Source organism: Homo sapiens, chromosome 16 (assembly GCF_000001405.40).
Source record: "Homo sapiens chromosome 16, GRCh38.p14 Primary Assembly".
Classification (NCBI taxonomy): Eukaryota; Metazoa; Chordata; class Mammalia; order Primates; family Hominidae; genus Homo; species Homo sapiens.
Window position 1 is genome coordinate 86,606,665 of NC_000016.10, and position 16,868 is coordinate 86,623,532.

At 48.1% G+C, this 16,868-nt stretch overlaps 3 annotated features.

Moving 5' to 3' along the window:
* Window positions 3,251–3,750: an enhancer, noted in NCBI's record as "H3K4me1 hESC enhancer chr16:86643521-86644020 (GRCh37/hg19 assembly coordinates)". NCBI's record gives its function as "activates a minimal SCP1, AML or CMV promoter by ChIP-STARR-seq in naive and primed H9 embryonic stem cells {active_cell/tissue: H9 hESC(naive and primed)}" and the evidence as "EXISTENCE:reporter gene assay evidence [ECO:0000049][PMID:30033119]".
* Window positions 3,866–4,432: an enhancer, noted in NCBI's record as "H3K4me1 hESC enhancer chr16:86644136-86644702 (GRCh37/hg19 assembly coordinates)". NCBI's record gives its function as "activates a minimal SCP1, AML or CMV promoter by ChIP-STARR-seq in primed H9 embryonic stem cells {active_cell/tissue: H9 hESC(primed)}" and the evidence as "EXISTENCE:reporter gene assay evidence [ECO:0000049][PMID:30033119]".
* Window positions 14,957–15,478: an enhancer, noted in NCBI's record as "H3K4me1 hESC enhancer chr16:86655227-86655748 (GRCh37/hg19 assembly coordinates)". NCBI's record gives its function as "activates a minimal SCP1, AML or CMV promoter by ChIP-STARR-seq in naive H9 embryonic stem cells {active_cell/tissue: H9 hESC(naive)}" and the evidence as "EXISTENCE:reporter gene assay evidence [ECO:0000049][PMID:30033119]".

Sequence of the window (16,868 nt, forward strand, 5' to 3'; positions counted from 1 at the left end):
AATATATTCATTCCCCGAAAGTTCCCTTGTGTCCTTTTTCCAGTTGATATCTGCCCCCGCCCCAACCTAGAGGAAGCCTTTTTTTTTGACTTGTAGCACCATGGATTGTTTTTCTCTATTCCTGATTGTCAGAGAATAAATGGAATCATAACAAGTGTGCCCCTTTGTATCTGTCTTCTGTCCCTCAACGTTATGATTGTGAAGTTCATCCATGTGGCATATCTAGCAGTGGTTTTTCATTTTTTGTTGCAGTGTAGTATTCCTCTATATGAATGGACCACAATTTGTTTCTCCATCTACTGTTTGTTTGTTTGTTTGTTTGTTTGTTTTGAGACAAGGTCTCACTCTGTCAGCCAGGCTAGAATGCAGTGGTGTGATCTTGGCTGACTGCAACTTCTGCTTTCCAGGCTCAAGCCATCCTCCTACCTCAGCCTCCTGAGTAGCTGGGACTACAGGGGCATGCCACCACACCTCGTTAGTTTTGTTTTTTTTTGTGTAGAGATGGGGTCTCACCATGTTGCCCAGGCTGGTCTTGAACTCCTGAGCTCAAAAGATTCACCCACAATGGCCTCACAAAGTACTGGGATTACAGCTGTGAGCCACTGCACCTGGCATTCTATCTACTGTTGATAGATGCTTGGATTGTTCGAAGTTCTTGTCTATTACGAGTAAAGAACTTTCTTGCACATGCCTCCTTGGAGAACACAAGCCCTCATTTCTATTGGGTATAGATTTGGAGAAGAACTTGCTGGGTCATGTGGTGTTTTAGCTTTGGTAGGTTCTGCCAGATTGCATTCTCGTGAGGCCAAGATCCTGTTCCTCTATTTCTTACTCTTTGGGGGGCTACATAAGCACATGCTTTGCCCCCCTTCTCTCCCAACACACAGTAAAGTGCCTGGCACATAGCAGGTGTTCAGCAAACACAGCTAGTGGTTGAGGAATGAATACTGAAGAAATCCCTCTTCCCATCTCACCGTCATGACAGTCACTGCCAGCAGTCTCGTTGCCATCACAGATGACGCTTGAGGAGATCTCCCTAAGGACATTGTTGTATCAGTCCGTTCTCACACTGCTAATAAAGACCTACCCAAGACTGGGTAATTTATAAAGGAAAGAGGTTTAATTGACTCACAGTTCTGCAGGGCTGGGGAGGCCCCAGGAAACTTACAATCATGGCGGAAGGGGAAGCAAACATGTTCTCCTTCACATGGTTGCAGCAAGGAGAAATGCCCAGCAATGGAGCGGGGGATGCCTCTTAAAAACTATCAGATCTTGTGAAAACTCACTATCAAGAGAACAGCATGGAGGTAACCACCCCATGATTCAATCGCCTCCCACTGGGTCCCTCCCATAACACATGGGGATTATGGGAACTACAATTCAAGATGAGATTTGGGTGGGGACACAACCAAACCATATCAATCATCTTCTCTAATATTCACGGAGGCTGTTGAGGCTGGTATCAGTGTACCCATTTCACAGGTGAGGAAGCTGAGGCTCAGCACAGGTGACCTCCTGCCAGCGTATTTCTAGCTGGGTCACGGATCTGCCCAAGGCCGTGCACTCAGCCCCAACACTGTCTGCTTCTGGGCACTTTAATGCCTTAGGTTCATCCTGGCAATCCGTTTTTCAGACAGCTCTTGGCAGCTTGTCTGCTCTGTGGCATTGTTTGCAGAAACAAGAGCACTGCTAGACCGTTTGGCTTCCCCTGGGATGTCTCCAGGGGCTACAGTCTGTTTATAAATGGACCCTGGGCCTTTTCCTTTACTGGCCTCTATTGACAAATAAATGACTGACTCACCAGAGTAAAAATACACTTCTGGTTGGAGCTGTGTAGAGTTATTAAAAGTTTGTTGTGTCTACTCTGATGGTACAGCCACTGTCCTGGGAGAGGGCAGCCGACAGGGCTGTAGGACAAATGCAGCTCAACATCTTTTCTCCTGACTCAGTCATACATTTTAGGTCAGGGGGACAAGTTTCCAGGGATCAGTTCCCCCTCTGGTGGTTTAGCAGGGTGGCAGGGAGGCAGGGCTTTGGGTCTGGAGCCAGGAGACCTGGGCAGTGCTGCAGCTCTGTCATTTCCTAGCAGAATGACCCTGGGCAAGTCACCTAACCTCCTTGAGCCCTGCCTTCCTTCTGCCTGCAAAATGGCAATCACACACCTTGCCTCTCAGGGTTTCGAGAAGGAGCCAACAAGGATGGATGCAAACACAATTTCAAACAAGTTGCCTTAGTGACATGTTGGGATAGGAAGGGTTGGCCTGATGTGAGCTGGGAGAGGAGAGCTGGTCAATCACAGAAATCTTTTGGGAATTGGGATGCTGTAGTTTGGAGATGTCAGTGTGTGGCAGGTGCTGTCCAGCCCCCATCCCGTGTTTGTGGCAGACATTGCTAATCGATTATCGTGTCTTTCCTGCTGGGGCTGCAAATGGAATTGTATCACACGGTGTGCAGTCTTTGGGGATCTTTCTCAGGATAAGCGCCAGGAAGTCACCCTCAATTGGTTAGAGTTGGCAGGGAAGTCGAAACCTATCTGCAGTTCTTGCTAAAGATCAGTGTGTCCCAAGTTCTGAGCCACATTCTACTGGGCATTCCTCAGATGGTTTAGGTGGGATGTCAGGGCTTATGTTTAATGGAATTGGCTTAAAAATGCAGGAAGTTATTTCCTTTCACTCCTTCTTTAAGATTTCTGATGATCTGATTGCCCTGCTATGCCTTTACCCCCTCTCTTACCACTTGTTCATCTGCATTTTTAACAAAAAGAGATGAGTCTCAGCTCAGAGCTGAGGGCAGCCAGCGTGTCTCGCTAGATACTGATAAACGTTGTTTTGTTTTCGTGGCATTTATTTATATACACTGTGACTTTCTCTTGGTGGCACCCCAGGGTAGGTTTTCCATTTATATTAGCGATGTGAAGATTTCTTCTAAAGTGAGTTTAGTTGGATGAAAGTGAGTCAATTTAGGGAAGGGTGTCAGTGACCAGGAGTGCTGGTGACTACGTCAAGTCTCCTGAAGGATCTGCCACCATGCTGGCCATGGCTGGGATTCTGAAGGTCACACATGAATCCCTGATGTTTGGAAAATACAGTCCTGAGCTCTGGGGATCTGGGGGAGAGCGTGAGCGTGACAGGAGTGGGCTTCAGTGGGATTCCCGGGTAGAGAGTGGGAGGAATGGGGCTACTGGGAGGGCCGGGCAGGGTGAGGTGGCTCTCCAGGGCTGCCAGGGTGGCCGTGAGGGTGGGGAGGACGCTGGGGCTTGTTATTGCTGGGTTTAAGGGGTGAGAAAGAGTGGGAAGTCTGGGATGTCCCCCAGGATTGGTGCCTTGGTGACGAGTTTCCTGGATGTGCCGCTCCACTCGCCAGTGTGTTTCCTGGGAAGCAAGGAGGAAGCAGTGATGTGCCACCTCCCATGAGGTTTTGCTATTTCCAGACTTAAACCTTTTTTTCTTTAGATTTTCATATTTAATTGTGGTAAAATACATGTAACAAAATTTACCATCTTAACCATTTCGAAGTGCACAGTTCAGGACCCACCATTCCTCTTTCTGTCTCTATGACTGTGACCACTTTAGAAAACTCAAAAAGGTGCAGTCTTTGTCTTTTTGTGTCTGCCTTACTTCACTCAGTATCACGTCCTCAGGGTTCATCCATGCCGTGGCCTGGGTCAGGATCTTCTTCCTTTTCCAAGGCTGGATAACACGCCACTGTAAGTATATGCCACATATTACTCCGTCCATCTGAGGGCATGTAGGCTGCTTCCACCTTCTGGCTAATCACACTGCTATGGACATGGGTGTCCAAATATCTGTTCAAGTCCCTGCTTTCAGTTCCTTCTTGTCTAGGAATTGCTGGATCCTAGGACCAGACTTCAATCTTTAAACCCCACAGGATGAATCTCTAATGACGAAACTCAGGAGTGAGATTGGCCTCAGGTGGCAGATGTCATAGGGGAGAAAGAGCTTTCCCAGCAGCCCTTCAGTCACCAGATGTGCGTCCCCAGGAGCAGAGCCTGGGGCAAGGATTTGGGTGCAAGGAGTTTATTTGCAAGGTGGCCCCAGGAAGTGCCCATATGGGAGTGGGGAAGGGAGGCAGGGAAGGGATGGAGCCAATAGGGGTGCATTAATGAGGGGGTCGCTGTGAGGGCACCTGGACTCAGCCCTACTGGGGACCTCGGGAGGTCACAGCACAGGCCTCAGCATTGTCCCATGCTGGGACAGGCTGCAGGAGCACGGACTGCCTCCGGCTTGTCAGCGGCTGAGGGCTGCTCTGGGGTGGGGTTGTGCTTCCCAGCCCTTCCTGGCAGGAACGAGGCCTCAGCACCCGTGGCCAGGAACATCCTCAGCAGGTCTCAGGAGCTTGTGGTGGGAAGCCATTGTTGTGGACAGGCAGTGGGAGAGGTGGCCAGCAAGCCCTGCCAGAGGCTCCCTGACTCTGGAGGCTCCAGCTGGAGTTGAGCTGCGTTCAAAGTTCACCAAGGTCAGGGGCCCTTCTGCTCTCAGCTCCCCTTCAACAGGCTGGAGTCCAGCACAGGGACCTCCTTTCGATGATCCGGAGGATTTAACCTGTGACAGTGGGCTGCAAAACCAACGTTCTGGAAAGACCATGGATTGCATTCATCCTGGGACCAGGAGGAGGAGATGCGTGCCCCTCTGCTCCTGCCATAGCCTCCCAGCACCCTGAGCCTGGGCTCAGCCTCAGGCTGTCTCACAGGGCACGGCCAGCTGCCACCCCATGATGCAAATGAGCAAACTCTACCTTCCTCACTTCACAGCTGAGTCGTCTGTGGCCAGGGTAGACGGGTGGTTCAGCCGGGGCCACGGTGCTCTCAGGAAGCAAGGACACCTCTTGAACCGAGGCCTCCTGCCTCCTGAGTACGGCCCTTTCCTGCAATGCTCAGGGCAGCAGCACAGCCCTTCTGTTGGCCTCGGGAGAAGCTTGGTGGTTGTTTAGTCTCCTGTAGTCTTCCGTGCCTGGAGACCAAGAGGCTAGGGCTCACCCTCTGGGCTGTGTGCGAGGATTTTGCAACTGTGGTGAGACACGATTTAACATTTTAGAGACAGAAATGGCCATCTGAAAAGGCTAAAATTATACGTTTTGGCCCCTTCTGTGACCTTTGGAAAGGCGCCCAGCTTCTGACAGTCTCTGATGCTGTTTGGGGGAGGAAATCTTATGTTGAAGAAAAGCATGTTGCTTTCATTCCATGTTGTAGCATCTGTTTTTGCATCTTTCATTTCAGAGCCCACACTCTATTTCAAAGCCTTTCTCACTACCTCTAAGAGGGACAGCCAAGGACATTCAGGTGGAATGAGCCCACACATTCTTTCCAGAAGGACATAAAGAGGAAAAAATTATTACTTTTACCTCCAAAATACCTTGCAAGAATATGCTTTCCTGCAGTGATTTGAAAAATCCTCCCAGTTAAGTTCTCTTATCAGGAAGGGATATTATCCCCTAGTAATCAGAGAGCAGAGACAGACGAGTTGTCCGATTTGCAGAATAAGCACTTTCAGGGGTTACTTGACTCTTAGGATACATCACTGCAGATCCCACTGCAAGTGCTAGTTAGAATCTTGGAATCCGAACCAGATGCAAGCACCTTTTCATCTGGGAATTAAAAACAAAATCAAAACCCTAGCACCACATTTTACAAAATGTAGTTGAATTCATTGCAAAAATTATTGTTAATGGGTTATTTGTAAGAATAACTATGGATACTGATTGGCTCTGCTTTTTCTGTACCGTTCTTTTGAAGATTCGTGTTATGTCAGATGTGAATACATACACCAGTGGTTTGAACTACTGGGTGACTCAAATCCGTGGAGGGAAACAACACCTGGTCTCCTGGAGCAGCTGGGTGACCTTGAATCACATTGTACGCTGGATGTGAGCCTCTTCACTTATACACGATTTGGACTAAATCATCCTTCTAGTTACTATTCAATAAGAAGAAAATAAGTGTCAATGACGCAGAGATTTATTCTATGATCGCTTAGTAATAAATTGACTCAGTATCATTTCTTTGTCTTCTGGCATCAGCACTGTGGCTTTCCATGGAGGTCACTGCTCCCCCACATTCAGTCCCTTTGGTTTGGATGGGGTTACTTTACTTCTTTTGTTTTGAGATGGAGTTTTGTTCTTGTTACCCAGGCTGGTGTGCAGTGGCGCGATCTTGGCTCACTGCAAGCTCCGCCTCCCAGGTTCAAGCCATTCTCCTGCCTCAGCCTCCCAAGTACCTGGGATTACAGGTGCCTGCCACCATGCTTCTCTAAGTTTTTTCTTTTTCTTTTTCTTTTTTTTCTTTCTTTTTTTTTTTTGAGACAGAGTCTTGCTCTGTCACCCAGGCTGTAGTGCAGTGGCATGATCTCGGCTCACTGCAACCTCCGTCTCCCAGATTCAAGCCATTCTTCTGCCTCAGCCTTCCAAGTAGCTGGGATTACAGGTGCCTGCCACTACACCCAGCTAATTTTTTTTTTTTTTGTATTTTTAGTAGAGATGGGGTTTCACTATGTTGGCCAGGCTGGTCTCGAACTCCTGACCTCAGGTGATCCACCCGCCTTGGCCTCCCAAAGTGCTGAGATTACAGGCATGAGCCACTGCGCCCGTCCAGGTTACTTTACTTCTGTGTCCAGAAGTGGTTGAGGAATTCAAATTCGCCAATCAGTCAACTACCCCACATAACCCCTGGACAGTGCTGGGGCCAGGGGTGCACCTGGGACCCATATAAGCCACAGTGACCCAGTGGTCATGGACCATTGGGAAAAACATTTCCCTGTTTGGGCCGGTCGCAGTGGCTCACGCCTGTAATCCCAGCACTTTGGGAGGCTGAGGTGGGAGGATCATGAGGTCAGGAGATCGAGACCACGGTAAAACCCCATCTCTACTAAAAATACAAAAGTTAGCCGGGCGTGGTGGCAGGTGCCTGTAGTCCCAGCTACTGGGGAGGCTGAGGCAGGAGAATGGTGTGAACCCGGGAGGCAGAGCTTGCAGTGAGCCGAGATTGCGCCACTGCACTCCAGCCTGGGTGACAGAGCAAGACTCTGTCACCAAAAAAAAAAAAAAAAAATTAAAAAGTAAATAAATAAATAAATAAATAAAAATTTCCCTGCTTGGCAGGGTAGCTCAGAGGGTTAGGACACAAAGTCTGGAGTACAGGAGCCACCGTGCCTCCCTCAGGGAAGCCACACACTCACACACACACATAGAATCACACACACACACTCACACACACATAGAATCACACACACACACACTCACACACACTGTTTAAGCCAGTTTGAGTTAGGTTTTTTCTCTTGCAACCAAAAGAGTTTTGACAATTGCTGAACTCATATTTTATCTACGGAAACTCATGCAAATGTTGCATTCTCTAATAACAGCTACACTTTCAGATTACTATAAAAATAATCTGCATGTATGAGAGAGATGGCAGGGTTTATTGAGTAAACGTGCTGGTGTAATTGGTTATCCACATAGATTAAAAGTGAAATTGCATCTCTATTCTCACCACACACACACACACACACACACACACACACACACACAGCCCAGATGGATTAAGAACTAAAATGTAAAAAGCAAAACTTTAAAAGTTTTAGTGGAAAATGCAGGTGGATATATTCCTGACTTTGATACAGAAAAGGATCTCTTAAACAAGAATTAAAAATGCCCCCTAAAAAAAGAAGACGGACAGAAGCAAGCCCCTCCAGACCAAACTCCTTAAGTAAAAGTGATGGTCCAGGCAGGGGGGCTGCCTTTGTTTTTAACTCCAAGTCCAGGCTTGCATGTCCTGGTTTAGAGGCACGAAGCGAGAGTATCTGTCACATTCTCTTCGGGTTGTCTTTGTTTATGTAGAAGTCCAGCTTTGGAAATTTTTTTTCCTGTGTTGATACTTTTGAATTTTGTAAAATGCGCAGAAACCTGTAACCTGTGCTTTAGAATTTCGAAAGCTGCTGAATCTGGGTTGGCTCTGGGAGGCAAGTCCATGCAAGATGTCAAAGATCATTATAGCCTGACTACAAATGCATCAGTGTGACTTTAAGGGACTTGTAAAAAATGTCTCTTCTTTTCTAAAAGCTTGCCTGTTTGCACGAAGCACACCCTCTGAGATCTGTATGCTTGCTCCAGTCACTCAAACAAGCATTTCCATTTTAGTAGCTGCCAGGGCGGCCTAGGTTATGTGGCAGTAGCAAATCCCCTTTGGATGTCAGTGGCTTTCTATTTCTAGCTAGTACTGAGTGTCCCTTGCAGGTCAGCATGGCTGTGTTCCATGTTTTCTTCAGGTGTTCAACCCAGAACCCAGGAGGAGGAAGCCGCTTTCATTTGCAACATTGTTACCTGGAGCTGAGGGAAAAGGGCTTGGCGAACTACGGTCTGGTTCTTAAAGTGACAGGCATTTCCACTCATATTTCATTAGGCCAAGCAAGTCATGTGGCCAAGCTGGACTTAAATGGGGCAGAGGTGTGTAATTCTGTAGGAGGGAAACCAGAATTTTTGGTGCACAGTGCTAAACTCTACTTTGCATTTCAAATTGTTTGTGAAATTGAGACGTGGGCTCTGATAGCAAATAGACAACATTCACATAGTTTACAAGGTCTCACGTCTTTTCCACATGTTCCCTGAAGCATGTTCTATATGGCTTTTGTTCTGTACCCCCAGGGCTCGGCATGCCAGCAGACACATGGCAGGGGCTCAGCCTGTGTTCCTTGCTAGGCAGGTATAGCTGGCCCCACTTTCCAGATAAAAATTAAGACCCAGAGAAGCTCAAAGATAACACAGGCGACACAGAAAGGTTGATTTAGATTTTTTTTTTTTCTGCTACTTGGAGCGGCTTCCCAGGCATGTCTGCAGAGACACTTATTTTATTTGGGGAGCACTCTAAGGCCACGTAGATGTGTGGATCAGCCTCCCCTTGGCCTCCCGCTCCCTACAGCGACCACGACATGCTGAATCTGATGAATGCTGGCTACTGCGGGCTTTTATGTTTATGTATGTGTGCACCTACGTATTTATGTCTAGTGGAGTTTTCAGTTTGGTTTTTTTGTGTATTTGATGTTGTCAGACACGTTGGTGTGAGGTCTTTGTTGGACTGGGGTGTGGACGTACATGATAAGTTATTATTATTCAGAATCATTTATTTTGCATGCTTCTGAATGACAGTAATAGTTGAGGCATGCTGGTTTCAGAAGGAATCCACTCATTCAGAAAATAAGACCCGGGGATCTTCAAAAGTGCAAATGGGATGGGAGGGTGTGTGAAGGCACCTGAGTATCTGATCAACAAAAATCCAAAGGATGATTTTTTGGTTGTTTGTTGTCTACTATATATGCCTCACCATCACCCCAGGTTTTGCTTATATTGAGGGACCTAATTTTTTTTTTATTCGTGAAATTATTAGAAAGCAAACTAGCACACAAGTGATCAACTCTGGTAATATTTGGCGCACTTCTTTACTTAAATTGGATTCAAAGCACTCAGTGAAGGCCTGGAAGATTCTTCTTGGTTCCTTCAAAGTGAAGTAAATGTAAATATTTACTATGCCTTAGTAGAGAAAGAAACAGTATCCAGGAGAATTAATAATAATAATAATAAACAACTTCTCCAAAGGTTTACAAAGTCCCAGCAGATGAGTTTCAAAGACTTTTTTGGTCATTTACTGACAGTAAAATTAGTAAGTGTTTGTAAAAAATCCAAACATTACAGATGTAGAAAAGATTTTATTTTTAAAACATTTTATTCATCTCACTTTCTGGGATTTTAATCGGTGATTTTATACTAATTATTTTTGTTCAGTTATATTGTATTTAAACATGTTTATAAATAAGTGACACACAGTTAATTTAATTTTATGTTATTTTTGAGACAGGGTCTCACTCTGTCGCTGAGGCTGGAGTGCGGTGGTACCACCTCAGCTCACTGCAGCCTCGACCTCCTGAGCTCAAGCGATTCTCCTGCCTCAGCCTCCCAAGTAGCTGGGACTACAGGCACGCACCACCACACCTGGCCAATTTTTTGTATTTTTTTTTTGTAGAGATGGGACTTTGCTATGTTGCCCAGGCTGATCTTGAACTCCTAGGCTCAAGCAGTTTGCCCTCCTCGGCTTCCCAGTGTGCTGGGATTACAGGCCTGAGCCATGGTGCCTAGCTACATACAGTTATTTTTAAAAATTCAAATAACAATGAAATAAATCTATAATGTAGTGGGTATCAGTCCTCGCTCTCGGGATAACCACAGTTACAGACATTTGGAACATATTTGCATGAAAAATCCAGCAGCTATTATTTTTATTTCTTTTTAATAAAAAATAGGAAATGACCTTACTTCCTGCTTTATTGCTTCTTTTTCACTTAATGATAGACTTTGGGCATTTTCCATGATTACACACACGGATCTTTTGCTCTTTCGTGGCTGGGTGGTTTTCCCTGGATTGTAGTTCATTTAACCAATCCCTTTTTAGTGAATACTTGGGTTGCTTCCAGTTATTTGCTACGACAAATGGTGCTACAGTGAAAACCCTCGTATGGCTATTGGGCACATTTATGAGAGTGCCTTTCCAGATACATTTCTCGCAGAAGAACTCTAAGTCAAAGGAGAGGTAATTCTTTAAAGAAAACTTACTACATACAAGCATCTTGTCCTTCACACAGGTTGTTTGAACCAGTAGGTGCTCCCACATGGATTTTCTTATTCCATAACCTGTTTAACATCCTGTACCAATGAAGGGTGCCTTGAATGACAGCTTGCTTTTTCAGAAGTACCTACAGCCATTGCTACAACAAAAAATTTTTTTTCCAAGAGAATCTTGACTGTGCCGTTAACATTACCTGCTATTGTCACTATTAAAGAGATAACAGCCACACTCTGTAATGAGCACCACTGCTTCAGTGCTTGCCATACCTTACTGCGTCAGACGCCTCCTTCAGGGGCTCTTGAGCGCTTCATTCATCAGGATTAATTTTTATTTATTTATTTATTCATTTATTTATTTATTTATTTTTGAGATGGAGGTTCACTCTTGTTGCCCAGGCTGGAGTACAATGGCTTGGTCTCGGCTCACTGCAACCTCCACCCCCCAGGTTCAAGTGATTCTCCTGCCTCAGCCTCCCGAGTAGCTGGGATTACAGGCGCCCGCCACCATGCCCAGGTAATTTTTGTATTTTTAGTAGAGATGGGGTTTCTCTGTGTTGGTCAGGCTGGTCTCGAACTCCCAACCTTCGGTGATCCGCCCGCCTCAGCCTCTCAAAGTGCTGGGATTACAGGCGTGAGCCACACAGCCTGGCCATCACGATTAATCTTATAAGCAGAACGTACAATGCTGACAACTCAGCCTCGCTTTGCAGTGCCTTTCACATGCTGGTGTTATGACCGGAGGGCTCTGTCATATGGCCTGTGTGTGGCCTTTGAGAACTAGGTAGCCCCTTTTCCTGTTTAACTTTTGGGGTAAACACATTCTCATTTAAAAATAATGGAATGATAAGACTCTAGAGAAGGGCCTTCTCCTGGATGATGAGAAGTTCTTCTTGTAAAATCTCTGCAAAATGCGTCTGGGGTTGCCATATTGTTTTTTCAAACACAAAGAAACAGAATCATCTCTTTTTCCTGTGGCTTTGGTTGTTCTAGGAAGCCATCCATAACCCTCCCTCCATGCCTTTGTTCAAGCTATGTCTGTGCTTGTCTGTCTACCTCAATTCTATTGCACGCTATAGGTTGATTAAGTCCACAAGTCTTCCCTTCCTGCCCCAACCCCAACTGCCTGCAGGTGGAGTGACTTTCTATCCCTTGAACTGGGACAGAAGTGGTGTACATGTTTCCCAGCTGAGCCTTTAGGGGACCTGTCCTTCTGGCCTCTGCCCCGAGAACAACATGCCCTGGGTGGCACTGCCCTTCAGCCTGGGTTTCAGAAAGAGATCCTGAACCTCAGGGAGCAAACTTGACCTTGACTTTGACCCACAGCCCAGGATCCAACCTGGCACAACTGAGCCCAGTAGAGATCAGCCAGGCCGCAGCCGCCCTTTTGTGTATTGTGAGCACAAAATACAATACCTTTTGTTAAGCCACTGTGATGAGGGCGGGACGGTATGTGGCGTGATTGCCGCAAAAATCAGACTAACACACCATCTTCAGGTGGAGCCTATGCCCCTTTGAAAGCTTTCTCTGAGATTCGGCCTGTATACAGTTGCAGACTGGGCTGAGTTTTAAAACGTTGCCAAGCTTGATAAGCAAACCCTGTCCAGCCGTCTGAGAGCCTCCCCTTGCCATCTTGGCAGCCTCTGCTCCAGCTGGGGACTCGTCCCATGATTCAAAAATGAAAGGTTCATGCTTGGTTCAGTAGGGTGTGTCCAAGGGGCCCTGCAGGACAGGACAGCGCTGGCGGGTCCACCCTTGCTGGTTGGTGCCTGTGCTATAGTGGCTGTGGAGCATTTGGGATCTCTTCCCTGGCAGATGTGAAGAGGAAAGTGAAAGTAGATGTGAAGTGCTCAGCACAGCCGCTGGTGTATGGGGAGCCTTCCTAAGTGTCAGCGATCACGGTTGCTGTCTGCAACATAAAGTGGTCTGCTTGCCAGCACCACATCCTTCTGACTTGGCTTTGCCCTCTGTGCGCAACTGCGTGCGTGGTTCCCTAAATGATGTGAGGTGATGTGAAAACTCTACCTGTCCCCAAATACCTCCCTCACGGAGCTGCCCCCATGCCTGAATCCCGCCATTCCCGCCGTTCTCTTGGAGCAGGGCGCTGGCTCCCAGAGGCTCCTATTGAAGCTCAGGTATGAATCTGAGGTAGGAGGTAGGAGGTGGGACTCGACTGTGGAGGCGGGGCTTGGACACTGAACCAGACTGAGGACTGGCTAAAACAGGGTGGGGTGGAAGCAGCTCTCCATAAGCCACGCCCATCAGTGTGCCCAGTCAGTGGGCGTGGGCGTTACCACTCCTTTCCACGGAAATGACTCCGACGACCCAGATGTTACTACCTTTTCCCTAGAAATTTCTGCATAAACCGCCCCTGCATCTGCATGCAATTAAAAGTAGGTATCAATATGACTGCCGGACTGCCGGGAGCTGCTGCTCTCAGCACACTGCCTAAGGGTTAGCCCAGCTCTGCGGGAGCAGCCACGGAGCTGTCGCGCTGCCTGAGCTGCAATGGTGCCGCTTCAGTCAAGCTGTTTTCTTCCACCACCAGCCCACCCTTGAATTCTTTCCTGGGTGAAGCAAAAGCCCTGGTTAAGCCCCAATCTGGGGTTCGCCCACCCTGCATCAAATCCATAGAAGCTCGAGGGAGCAGGCATTGGACTAGAAGTTCTACTGGCCAAGGGGCAGCTGGAGCTGTGTCAGTGGGTCCCTGGAGCACTGGGGAGGACTCAAGCCTGGGTGCATGTAGCAGGGACACCTGGGGTTCTGCTGCACCCCAAAGGGGCGGCATTAACTGAAGGAGAATCTTGCTCTCAACAGAGGGCAGGTGTGGCAGACACCATTTGCTGGCCACCCAACACCATCCCTCGTCTTCCTCCAGGCTCCTTGCATCCTCTCAGTTTCCTGCCATAAAGACTGCAGGTCAAACAAGGGCCTCCCCAGCCCCACTTGCAGTCACAAGTGGCTGCATGAGCTGATGCTGGCTCATAACACAAGGCAGAAGTCTTCTGGAGGAACTTCTGGGAAGCTTTGTGTTCTTTATAAAACATCACCCCCATCCTTCTTATCTTGATGTGGATGTGATGTCTGGAGCTGCAGCAGTCACCTTGTGCCATGAGGAATGGCCAAGAAAGCAGCAGAGACGTGGACTCTGTTGTTAACCTGCTGAACCACTGGCCATGACTTTGGCACATGTGAGAAGATAAACCTGATTTTTAAAGCCATTGTGGCTGGGTTGTCTATTATGTTCAGCCAAACACACTCCTAATGGATACAGCTGGTTAAATAAGTGATGAGTTATCCATACAGTGGAATACAGCAGAGCCATGAAAGAGGGTGATATTGCTGTATGTTTTTAATACCATGAAAAAGTTATGATGACATGTTAAGTGGGGAAAAAACAAGTTCCAAAAGAGCATTTCTATAAATCCATTCTCTACTTATAAGAACACACACATCCATACTCACACTTATGTTTGTGATTTTCTATTTGTTAAGAAAGAGAATCTGCAAGTGTAAACATCAACATTTTATGTGTGGTGGGATCTAAAGACCTCTTTTATTTTGTTCTCTGGTATTCTGGGCTTTCTGAATTCCCTGAAATGCATGTGTACTACTTTTGTAATCAGAAAACACCAAAGCTGTGAGGAACACAGTGGGGAAGAGGTGTTTCGAGGGTGAAGGAACCACCGAGAGCAAGCTGGTCTCACTCCCAGATAGGCTGAAAGATGGGGCAGCTGATGCTGACTTTTTTTTTTTTTTTGGACGGAGTTTTGCTCTTGTCGCCCAGACTGGAGTGCAACGGTGCAATCTTGGCTCACTGCAACATTCGCCTCCTGGGTTCAAGCGATTCTCCTGCCTCAGCCTCCTGAGTAGCTGGGACTACAAGTGCCTGCAGCCATGCCTGGCTACTTTTTGTATTTTTAGTAGAGATGGGGTTTCACCATGTTGGGCAGGCTGGTTTCGAGCTCCTGACCTCAAGTGATCCACCTGCCTCAGGCTCCCAAAGTGCTGGGATTATAGGCATGAGCCACTGCACCCGGCCTGCCATTGATTTTTCTCCTCTCTTTACTCTCTTAGAATGCTGTGCACACTCTTCTGCCCCTACAGCTCCCTAAAGGGCCAGCCTGTGCACCCTTCGGAGCCCCCATCAGATGGGAGCTGCTAGGTCATTGTGGCACCAATGGCTGGTGCCGTCTTAAGGACTGGACATCTTCCTTCCTCTTTCCCTTTCTCCTACCCTTCCATCTCTTCTTTATTTCTTCTTCCATCTCTCTCTGCTTTTTCCTCTTCCTCCTTCCATCCCTGCCCCACACCCCTCACAGCCTTCCTGAGAACCAGCTGCGAAGCCCTTAATCTGCAGCCGGAGGACACAGACCAGGTCCTGCCCCACGGAGCTCCGAGCCTGGGAGGAGTCACTGAGCACGGTGACCCTATGTGGTGTGTAGACGGAGGGCACAGGATCCACGCGATGCAGAACAGACCAGGCCTTGAGTTTGTAAAGGGTCTGGCCACTGGCGCTGGCGTCCACCATCATCTCAGAGCCTCTCTGCGGCAAGCATGGACTAGCAACAGGGCTGTTAACCTTTTCCCTGTGACCCAAACCCCAGCACGGTCTGCTTGAGTGTGTGTCTTCCTGCCTTGCTGCTGGGACCGGTGCTCTGGTCTGATTCTCTCATTTACTCAGGAGGGGGTCTCTGTGGGATGTTCCCCTCTTCTTCTGGGCTCCGTTCTCTTGTCACTGAATCCTCTGTCACCAAGGGCCTCAGGAACTTTGTCCAAATCTCGCCACCTCTGGCTTCTGCTCCCTTGCCGCCGGGCTGGGCCCTGCCCACCTGCTGGAGCTCCGGCCCCTGACGGCCACCTGCTGCCTGCTGCAGTGCACTCCAGAGCAGCACCACATCACCAAACGCCCCCAGCCTTGAGGCTCCTCCCGTCGCCAGGCCCCACAGCCCATCCCAGGGTTCCGTTTTCTCCATCTCATCTCCAGCTCCCAGTGCCAGCAGGCCCAGTTCTTCCTCCTTCAACCATGCTAGTGCTGGGATTGACATTTGTATGTTACTCCTTTAGGCCCCCATGCTAATCAAGCAAAGGAAGAAATCAAGTCACAGAGCATCCAAATTGTCCAAATCCCCCTTCCCAGTAAATCCTTTCATCATGACCACCTGGAGCCTGGGCACCTTAAAAGTCACTCAGGCAGCCAGCTTCCATCAACTCCAGAGGAGATGTTTGATCAAAACAGAAAACTAGGCTGGGCGTGGTGGTTCATGCCTATAACGCCAGCGCTTTGGGAGGCCAGCCAACACGGGAGAATTGCTTGAGGCCAGGAGTTCAAGACCAGCCTGGGCAACACACTGAAACCTGGTCTCTACAAAACATAGACAAAATTAGCTAGACGTGGTGGCGTGTGCCTGTAGTCCCTGCTACTTGGGAGGCTGAAGTGGGAGGACTGCTGGAGCCCAGGAGGTCAAGGCTGCAGTGAGCTATGATTGGGCCACTGTAGTCCAGCCTGGGCAACAGAGCAAGACGCTGTCTCAAAAAAAGAAAAGAAAAGAAAGAGAGAGAGAGAGAAAGAGAGAAAGTAAGGAAGGAAGGAAAGAGAGAGAAAGAAAGAAAGGAAAGAAAGAAAGAAGAAAGAGAGAAAGAGAGAAAGAGAGAAAGAGAGAAAGAAAGAAAGAGAGAAAGAAAGAAAGAAAGAAAGAAAAAGAAAGAAAACTACGTGGTATCCGGAAAGGTCTGGGGTTGATCTGAAGCCCAAGAGGTGGGCACTGAGGACATGTGGAGGGAGGAGCTCCCCTCCTCATGGAGAGAGCTGGCCTTGGTGCCCTTCATGTCATCTCAGCTCAAGGGTCACAGAGGCTCAGGGCAGAAAGGCCACTTGTGGTTTTCTCTGTCACCAACAGATACTGAAAGGACTAATGATACGGTTTAGTTCTAGGTCATTTAGAAATTGGTGACATCGGCAGAAAACAGACGGTTGGGGTGTTGGGGCTCAGGTCCAGGCGGGGTGGGTGGATGGGCCTCAGTTGTTAGTGGTGAACCATGATTGGGCTGCCAGGGAGGGCTATTTCTGGGGCTCGCCCACCAGAGGGGAGCTGGTGGCGTCGCTGGCCTGCTTTGTGTGCGGAGCGCCACTCAATGCGAATCTGGGAATGGAAACTTGGGGAGAGACAGTGGGACTCACATTTAAACTCAGATTTCAGAAGAAACTCCAGACGCAGACCCAGGGCCTCCCTGCGACATCTGAG